Source organism: Homo sapiens, chromosome 3, assembly GCF_000001405.40.
Source record: "Homo sapiens chromosome 3, GRCh38.p14 Primary Assembly".
Lineage (NCBI taxonomy): Eukaryota > Metazoa > Chordata > Mammalia > Primates > Hominidae > Homo > Homo sapiens.
The window spans coordinates 129,062,663-129,073,186 of NC_000003.12; positions in this window are offsets into that span (position 1 = coordinate 129,062,663).

Sequence of the window (10,524 nt, forward strand, 5' to 3'; positions counted from 1 at the left end):
CCAGCTTTGCACCGGGGCCAGCCCTCACCACATTCCCCAGAAATCTCGCTCTTCCAGCACGGTAGTGAGCAGAGCAGGGTGTCCCAAAGGCCCCTGGAGGGAGGAGAGGAGGGGTTTCCATCCCCACGACAGAAATGGCTTGGCGGGCCCTTTTCCATCACGGCCTCTGACCACTCCACCTTGGCTGTGAGGCTGCCAGGGCGCACCTGGCCCCATCCTCTCCTCCGTCTTCTCTCTCCTTTTTCTCCTCTCTACTCTTCTCCACAAACAAGACAAATCTCTCTATTTCTCATGGAAAACAAGCTCCTACAGGGCTAACATCTGCACCTCCAAACCCTGGGGTCCCCCTCCTACCCCAAGCCCTGATCACCAAATCCTTCAAACAAGGCAACTCTCCCCCTCTGAGGAATCCTGGTGCCAGATGTTAAAATCATAAACTTTTCTCCACCACATGAGGTAACATTTATGGGCCTGTTACTGGCCAAGCCAAATCCAAATATAATTACACGAGGACCCCACCCCTTGAGGGGTTCCATGTGTAACCAGCAGACCAGCCTGGGTGGGCCTGTGGGTCGGAAGATTCCACCAGGTAGCCCAAGCGGGTGCAGAGTGCAGCTGGAGGGCACTGACTCACAGAGCTCAGGTGGGAGCAGGAGCCCCAAACCCAGAGGTGGGGGCCAGTAAGAAGTGATAGGGAATGTGGCAAACCAGGGAGCCTGTGTTCCATCCAGAGGGGCTCAGCCGATTGCCACCATGTGGAGGAGATGGGGGCCCAGGTGCCAGGCGTCCAGTTCTTCCAGAGAGGTCAGAAGGCTAGATTGTTACATGAACTCTCTAAAGTCTTTAAGTGTTGGCAACTAAATAAGAAATTTTAAGGCCGGGCGCGGTGGCTCATGCCTGTAATCCCAGCACTCTGGAAGGCCGAGGTGGGCGGATCACCTGAGGTCAGAAGTTCAAGACCATCCTGGCTAACATGGTGAAACCCCGTCTCTACTAAAAATACAACAAATTAGCTGGGTGTGGTGGTGTGTGCCTGTAATCCCAGCTACTGGGGAGGCTGAGGCAGGAGAATCGCTTGAACGCGAGAGGCGGAGGTTGCAGTGAGCCCAGATCGCGCCACTGCACTCTAGCCTGGGCAACAAGAGCGAAACTCCGTCTCAAAAAACAAAAAAAAAAAAAAAAAGAAATTTTAGGAAATACATAGGCAGGACAAATAGAACATCAGCCAATTGGATCAGGCTGAGCCTGCGATTTCTGCTGTGGCACGGCTGCCTAAGAACAATCGTAAAAGCTGGCATCTGCTCCTTGGGCACCAGGTGTGTCCAAGGCTTGCGTGCAGCACCTCCCATGGGTGACTCTCGGGTTTCCCTTTGGAAGACTGTAAGGAGGGAGCTGTTCTGCAACCCGCTGCATGGAGGAGGGTGCAGGCCTAGGTCACCTGCTTGTTCTCTCTCACACGTGCTCCCTCGAAAGCTTCCAGGCCCGTGGGGGACCCTGGAACTAAGGCCCTTCAGTCCCCAACCCCCGACATAGGGTGCTACACAGATCCCCCTGCTTCAGTGCCTTCTTGAGGCCGTGTGTACCCGCCAGCAATTCCAGGCCCCTGTCCTGCTCGGTCCAGCAAGAACCTGCAGGCTGCAACAAGTCCCCTGTGGGTGGAGAGGGTGGAGGGCCCTCTGAAGCCAGGCAGGGATTTCCCAAGGTGGATGGCTGGTCATACAAGCACCCCAGGAGACGGTGACTCCCTGGAAGGTCACGGTCTGCCTTCACCAGTTTTTGCTGCTACAACCTAATGCCACAGTCTGGGTACTGTAAAAACAGTGAACATTTATTTCTCATGGTTCTGAAGCCTGAGAAGTCCAAGATCCAGGCACTGGCATTCAGTGTCTGCTGAGGGCCCTCTTCCTCTCATTGCCAAAGGGGCGAAAGGGATAGAAGGGGCAGCCAGTTCCCTCACACACTCCTTTTTTTTTTTTTTTTGAGACAGGGTCTTTCTCTGTCGCCCAGGCTGGAGTGCAGTGGTGCAATCATGGCTCACTGCAGCCTCCCGCCTCAACTTCCCCAGTAGCTGGGACTATAGGCGTGCGCCACCATGCCCAGCTAATTTTTGGTAGAGACAGGGTTTCGCCATGTTACCCAAACTAGTCTCAAACTCCTGGGCTCAAGCAACCCTCCTGCTTTGTCCTCCCAAAGCCACCGCACCTGGCCAACCTCAAGCACTTTTATAAGGGCCCTAATTACCTTCCAAAGGCCCCACCTCCTAATGCAAGCACACTAGGGATAAAATTTCAGCATTCAACAGCACCAGCCCCAGCCTCAGTGCCTCTCCCACCACAGGCATGGTTGACCAAACATACCCCTGCACGGGCAACTCTGCCAGCAATTCACACGATCTCCCCTCCCTCAGAGCCATCCACATCACCTCCCCTGACACCAGCCTCACACTGACCTCCTGCAGTGGTGCGATCATGGCTCACTACAACCTCAGCCTCCTGGACTCAAGTGATCCTCCTACCTCCCACCTCTCCCGAATAGCTGGGACCACAGGCATGCACCTCCACACTCGGCTGATTTTTGTAGCTTTTGTAGGGAAGGGGTTTCGCCATGTTGCCCAGGCTGATCTTGAACTCCTGGACTCAAGCAATCAATTAGCCAGCCTCGGCCTCCCAAAGTGCTGGGACTACTAGGCGTGAGCAGCCACCGCACCCAGCCTGTGTAGGGTAATTTTACCAGCAGCTATAACCACTGACCCACCCATCCGGCCGCTCTTCCTGATCACGGGCCTCTCTGCTGGCCACCTGCTCACTGGGAGGCCTCCTTCTCTGCTGTAACACAGAATCCACTCTCAACATACAAGACAACATGCTACGGTGCCTATTATGGAAGTGGAGCTCAAGCCTGCCAGCTAATAGTGCTGCACTGGGCACAGGTGGCAAGTCTGTCTTTCTAGAAACTGTCTTCCCCAGCTTCTGAAACTGTCCTTCCCCTCTTCTGCATGCCCCTGGCCAGTGGGAGAGCAGAGGACAAAGAGGACAGCACGATGCCCATGGCTAGCCCTGAGGGGCACAGATCATGCTTGCACATTTGCTGTCCAGATCCCAGTCAGTGACTGTGATGGTTAATATTGAGTGTCAACTTGATTGGGTTGAAGGATGTAAACTATTGCTCCTGGGTGTGTCTGTGAGGGTGTTACCAAAAGAGATTAACATTTGAGTCGGAGGACTGGGAGAGGCAGACACACCCTCAATCTACATGGGCACCATCTAACCCGCTGCCAGCTCCACTAGAATAAAAGCAGGCAGAAGAATATGGAAGGACTACACTTGCTGAGTCTTCCGGCTTTCATCTTTCTCCCCTGCTGGATGCTTCCTGCCCTCAAATGTCAGACTCCAAGTTCTTCAGCGTTTGGACTCTTGGGCCTACATCAGTGGCTTGCCAGGGGCTCTCGGGCCTCTGGCCATAGACTGAAGGCTGCACTGTCGGCTTCCCTATTTTCAAGGTTTTGGGACTCAGACTGGCTAGAAATGGACTGGAAGTGAGCGGAAGGTGGAAGCTCTGTCCTGGCTCAGCTCGGCCTATGCTGGGAGGGTGACTGGTGGTGTGGAAAGTCCGCTGGGACTCAGCAGCACCTGGGCCTCTAATTGTTAGCTTTCTAACCGGCTCTGGGGCTGCAGTTCTCATTTTCAATCCTCTGGGTAATAAGCAGTGAGGACTTCTACTCCAGGTTTTGAGAAATGTCGCAAAATCTTGGGAAAGTGTTACTTTCTTGGATGGATCTCTAAAACAGTGGATCAAATTCAGACAGGAAAGCTAGACTGTATTACTTCCTTCATTAATATTTAATTGCAAGGCCAGGCGCAGTGGCTTGCGCCTGTAATCCCAGCACTTTGGGAGGCAAAGGCAGGTGGATCACCTGAAGTCAGGAGTTCAAGGCCAACCTGGCGAAACCTCGTCTCTACAAAAAATACAAAAATTAGCTGGCATGGCGGCACGCACCTGTAATCTCAGCTACTCGGGAGGCTGAGGCAGAAGAATCACTTGAACCCAGGAGGTGGAGGTTACAGTGAGCTGAGATTACACCACTTCACTCCAGCATGGTCACAGAGTGAGACTCCCTCTCAAAAAGAAAAAAAAAACAAATTAAATTGCACAGCCATCAGTTAAATATATTGCTTTTAGAAAAAATTAAAATAGTACATCTCTCCCCCAATTCTGGTGGTGGTCCACTTCTGCGATACGCATATATGCCCACAGAAAATATGCTGGTCTTATGGCAGGTTTTTATGTAAATGTATCATACTTTTGGATTCTTCCGAAACTGGCTTTTCTCACCTGTGCGTGTTAGCCACATAGGCCCTTCTCTCTCCGTGGCTGCTGCGTAGTCTCTCTTGGTCTCTGTGTCCTCTGGCGCAATTGCTCCAGCATTCTCCTTTACAAACAAGCTGCCGTGTGCAGCCCTATGCACCTGTGCGGCTATTTCTCTAGGGCACTGGTCCTCAAAGCAGAGCTCCAGAGACCGCTGGGGAGAGGAGGTTCCCTGAAACTCTTTTAGAGAGGTCCACATATTCAAAACTATGTTCATACTGTAGGCCATTATCAGCCTTTTCCACTGTGGTTTTCTGAAATTAAAATCCCTCTTGAAATAAAAGAGAATTTTCCAGAGGCCACATGATTTGTGACATCACAGCAGTGTGTCTGCAGACACAGACACGGCATCCAGCTACCTCCTATTACGCCAGACGTTTAAAAGATTTGCAAAAAATATAGAATGGCACACTTCTCACTCTTTTGTTTTGGAACATATCTATTCTTTTTGAGACAGGGTCTCACTATGTTTCCCAAGCTGTACTCAAACTTCTGGGCTTAAGCAATCCTCTTGTCTCCAGAATTGGTGGGTTCTTGGTCTCACTGACTTCAAGAATGAAGCTGCGGACCCTCGCAGTGAGTGTTACAGTTCTTAAAGGCGGCACGTCTGGAGTTTGTTCCTTCTGATGTTTGGATGTGTTCGGAGTTTCTTCCTTCTGGTGAGGTCGTGGTCTCTTTGGCTCAGGAGTGAAGCTGCAGACCTTCGCGGTGAGTGTTACAGCTCATAAAGGTAGTGTGGCTCCAAAGAGCAAACAACAGCAAGATTTATTGCAAACAGCAAAAGAACAAACCTCCAACAGCGTGGAAGCGGACCAAACCAGTTTGCCACTGCTGGCTCGGGCAGCCTGCTTTTATTCTCTAATCTGGCCCCACCCACATCCTGCTGATTGGTCCATTTTACAGAGAGCTGATTGGTCCGTTTTGATAGGGTGCTGATTGGTGGGTTTACAATCCCTGAGCTAGACACAAAAGTTCTCCAAGTCCCCACCAGAGTAGCTAGATAGAGTGTGGACACAAAAGTTCTCCAAGTCACCACCAGAGTAGCTAGATACAGAGTGTCGATTGGGCATTCACAAACCCTGAGCTAGACACAGGGTGCTGACTGGTGTGTTTACAAACCTTGAGCTACAGAGTGCTGATTGGTGTATTTACAATCCCTTAGCTAAACATAAAGATTCTCCAAGTCCCCACCAGACTCAGGAGCCCAGCTGGCTTCACCCAGTGGATCCCGCACGGGGGCCCAGGTGGAGCTGCCTGCCAGTCCCGTGCCGTGCGCCCGCACTCCTCAGCCCTTGGGTGGTCAATGGGAACTGGGTGCCCTGGAGCAGGGGGCGGCCCTTGACGGGGAGGCTGGGGCCGCGCAGGAGCCCACTGGGGCCGGCGGGGAGTGGTTGAGGAGGGAAGGCTCAGGCATGGCGGGCTGCAGGTCCTGGGCCCTGCCCTGCGGGGAGGCAGTTAAGGCCCGGCGAGAAATCAAGCACAGCAGCTGCTGGCCCAGGTGCTAAGCCCCTCACTGCTCCGGACTCGCGGCTCCGAGAGCGGGGCCGCGGAGCCCACGCCCACCCGGAACTTGCGCTGGCCGGCAAGCGCGGCGCGCAGCCCCGGTTCCCGCCCCCGCCTCTCCCTCCACACCTCACCGCAAGCTGAGGGAGCCGGCTCCGGCCTTGGCCAGCCCAGAAAGGGGCTGGCCGGGGCTCCCATAGTGTAGCGGCGGGCTGAAGGGCTCCTCAAGCGCGGCCAGAGTGGGCACCAAGGCCGAGGAGGCGCCCAGAGCGAGCGAGGTCTGTGAGGGCTGCCAGCAGGCTGTCACCTCTCACCTCTGCCTCTGAAGTAGCTGGGACTACAGGCACACACCACTATGCCCAGCTTTGTTTTTATTAAAGTATTTTATTTTCATTAACATCCTTAAGCTTTATCATTATGATTGTAAACAAAGTGACACATTAAGTATGTTTAAACTGTCTCCCCTTATTTTCACACACTGTAACTATTGGTAGATATAACCCATAAAAAGCTCTCTATGGTGCTCCAGAATTTTTAAGAATGGGTCCTGAGAGCAAAAAGTTTGAAAACCACTGCTCTAGACTAAGAAGCCCATGGCTGGGCATTGAGGCTTGCATTGTCTGAATTCTGATACACAACAAGCTCTAAAACTTTGCTGTTTTGCCATTCTGTAGGAGGACATGCAATATGTATTTCCCAAATTCGTGTCCTTGCTCTGTGGCAGCTCATGGGCACCACCCTACACTAGCCTCTTGTGGGTTTGAGAAGTGAAGCCAGCTGGACTTCCTGGGTCAAGTGGGGACTTGGAGAACTTTTCTGTCTAGCTAAAGGATTGTAAATGCACCAATCAGCACTCTGTAAAAACGCACCCATCAGCGCTCTGGGTCTAGCTAAATGATTGTAAATGCACCAATCAGCACCCCATAAAAACAAAGGATTGTAAATGCACCAATCAGCACCCCATAAAAACAAAGGATTGTAAATGCACCAATCAGCACTCTGTAAAAATGCACCAATCAGCGCTCTGTGTCTAGCTAAAGGATGTAAACACACCAATCAGCACTCTGTAAAATGGACCAATCAGCACTCTGTAAAATGGACCGATCAGCAGGATGTGGGCAGGGACAAATAAGGGAATAAAAAGCTGGCCACCCCAGTCAGCAGTGACAACCTGCTCGGGTCCCCTTCCACACTGCAAACTTTGTTCTTTTGCTCTTCACAGTAAATCTTGCTGCTGCTCCCTCTTTGGGTCCGTGCCACCTTTAAGAGCTGTTAACACTCACCACCAAGGTCTGTGGCTTCATTCTTGAAGTCAGCACGACCAAGAACCCACTGGAAAGAACGAACTCCGGACACAGGCTGTGGGCCTGTTTTCTTCGTGCCTTCACAGACAGTACTGTCGCCAGCCAGCAAACCACCCTCCCCAAATTATTTCCTTCTGGTGAATTCCCAGAGGACTTCTCATGGGCTCAGAACGTCCCCATCCCTGAAAGCATGGAACAGCCTCGTGGTCACTCTGCTGGCATGGGGTGCTCACAGTTTTATCAAGTTTCCTTCTATTTTAGTAACTAAAAATGTTATGTCTGTCAAGGACATATTGCTGGCGGGGTCCCTGAAGGCTCAGAGTAAGCTTCCTGTGGGTTTTTCCACCTCCTGTGCCCTCCCCGCTGTGAGCTCTGCCCTTCTATCTGTTGCACATCCACCATGTGTCAGCTTGAGTGCCCACGTTCCATGTCATGAATTCTAATGTTTTCCTTTATAGCTAGTTTAGGGAAATTCTGAATTTGTTGTTCAGATGAGGAGCAAGCTGTGGAGAGGAAAAGATCACCAAGGGGTCACGTATGCAGGGGACATTTAAGTACCAAGCACTGCACCAAGTCCCTCACCCTTAGGAAGGTGTATAAACCTCAGAACTGTTACTGCAACACCAGGGTCTAGGTCTAGGTCCCGCTGCTCACTGCACAGAAAGCCAATAAGACAACAAGTATCGCCTGGGAAGAAGGCTTTAATTGTGTGCTGTAGTCAGAGATGGGAGATCAGTCTCAAATCCATCTCCCTGACGGACTAAAACTAGGGGTAATATAACAGAGAAGAAACGTAACCATGTGTGGGAAAACAGGAATTAGGGAGGTCAACAGGAAGCAGGTGGTCAGTTAGGCACTCATGATGGGTGAGAGGTCTAGCCTCTCATTGTGCAGATGATGTGGTGAGTTTCAACTCCTTGACACTATCTGGGAGGCCTGATAGTTGCTTTCCTAAGAGAGGAACTCAAATAAGACAAATGTAACTTTCTCAAGTTTTAAGACTGGGAGGATCAATTTCTATGTTTATTCAAAGAAACCATGAACATCAGTTCTGTGGGGCAGTTGGGCCGGCTTCAGAGCTACCTCTTGGTGTGGGCAGTGAACACCCTTCTCACCTCACCTTCCTCCTCTCCATTTTACAGATGGGGAAACTGAGGCACAGAAAGGTAAATAGCAGAGGTGAGATTTGGAGCCAAGCAGTCTGGCCCCGATGCCACTCTTGTAAGTCCTCTTCTCATGGTTGCTCACAGGCACTCAACTTAGGAACTGCTGGTCAACCCAAAAAAATCTGTATTAAGCATGGAAACAAAATTCACAGAAAGGATGCCTGATGGCCGCGTGGCGTTCTCAGATGAATACAGCTGCTTTGAGGCCAAGTGCTCTGCCTCTGCCCCCTACCTTCCTCCTTATTCACCCACCTGGGGTCTTTGATTCTTAAACTTTAGGGATTCTTGGAAACAAGCTAGGATGACAAATAGGCTATGGATTTGACCTTCTTAGTGATTAAGACACCACCGCGTGGCGCCCGCTGGAGTGGACCAGAATGTGTCCTCCACCAGACACGGCTTCTCAAAAGCTATAGGCGCAGCGATTCTGGGCGCTCTGCCTGTGAGTTAGCCCTGCTCAACAAGGAGCAGTAAAAACCAAGCAAACAAACGGGAGGCAGCAGCTGGTGGGGGTTTATTTTTTGACAATACCCTCACCCCCCAACACAGACACTGACCTTTGGGAAGGGATCTTGGGGCAGACCCCTGCTGGCCTACTGCCCCTCGTCTGGGGTCTCAGGCAGGTGCAGGCTGAGCAGACTTGGGCTCTAGAAACCAACCTTTCTGGAATTTTACGCTAGACCAGGGGTGTCCAATCTTTTAGCTTCCCTGCGCCACATTGGAAGAAGAATTGTCTTGGGCCACACATAAAATACACCAACACTAATTAGTAGGGGATTTTGAAAATGTTACTTAATATTAGATCGATGCACAAAAATCTATTGCATTTTTAGACAATTAGAAATTATAATTTTAGCTGGGTGTGGTGGCTCATGCCTGTAATCCCACCACTTTGGGGAGCCAAAGAGGGAGGATCGCTTGAGCCCTGGAGTTTAAGGCCAGCCTGGGCAACATAGCAAGACCCCATCTCTACAAAAAATAAAAATAAGAAAATTAGCTGGGTATGGTGGCACACACTTGTAGTGCCAGTTACTTGAGAAGCTGAGATGGAAGGATCACTTGAGCCCAAAAGGTGGAGGCTGCAGTGAGCTATGATCACAGCACTGCACTCCAGCCTGAGTGATAGAATGATTGTCTCTAAAAAAGAAAAAAAGAAAGAAAGAAATTGTAATTTAAAAATAGGATACAATAAAAGGCAGGTATACAATTGACTTTCAAGTTGGAAAAAATAAAATTTAATTTATATCTCACACCATAAACAGAAAAAAAAAATACACTAGCACTAATGATGGCTGATGAGCTAAAAAAAAATTGCAAAAATCCTCATAATGTTTTAAGAACGTTTACAAATTTGTGTTGGGCAGCATTCAAAGCCATCCTGGGGCACATGTTGGACAAGCTTGCCCTAGACCGAAGGAAAAGAGAAGACCGATACAACGGTGGCAAAATAGAAAATCCCTGTGGATTTCCCATGTTATAATAACAGGGAAGGAAAATGATCATAAAATGTATGTATTTATTTATTTTTATTTTTTTTTTTTGAGTCGGAGTCTCGCTCTGTCGCTCAGGCTGGAGTGCAGTGGTTTGATCTCGGCTCACTGCAAGCTCCGCCTCCTGGGTTCACGCCATTCTTCTGCCTCAGCCTCCCGAGTAGCTGGGATTATAGGCATGTGCCACAACGCCCGTCTAATTTTTTGTATATTTAGTAGAGACGCGGTTTCACCATGTTAGCCAGGATGGTCTCGATCTCCTGACCTCGTGATCCACCTGCCTCGGCCTCCCAAAGTGCTGGGATTACAGGCGTGAGCCACCGCGCCCAACCTACAAAATGTATTTAGTTAAAATCTCCTGTCGTCTCCTAGGCAGGGGGCAAAGCCCTGCTTTCTTTCCTGGAGTCCCATGGACACTGGGTCAGCACTGCCTGGACCCCTACCCAGCTGTGCAGGTGCTGTTTTACCCCTGCAAGGCTCTCGGTCAGGACCGAGCCTCCTCCTTCAGCTCTTGCCCAACTTCGTTGCACCAAGACAGAAGTTTATGAGCATGCCCAGAAGAGGAACCAATATGGCCTGGGGGCCCTAGAGTGGTCACATTCCAAGACAGAAAGTGGGTGGTGGCCACCAAGGCTGGAGGAGAGGGCACACGGGGAGTTTGGTGGGGACAGAGTTTCAGTTTGGGAAGACGGAAGC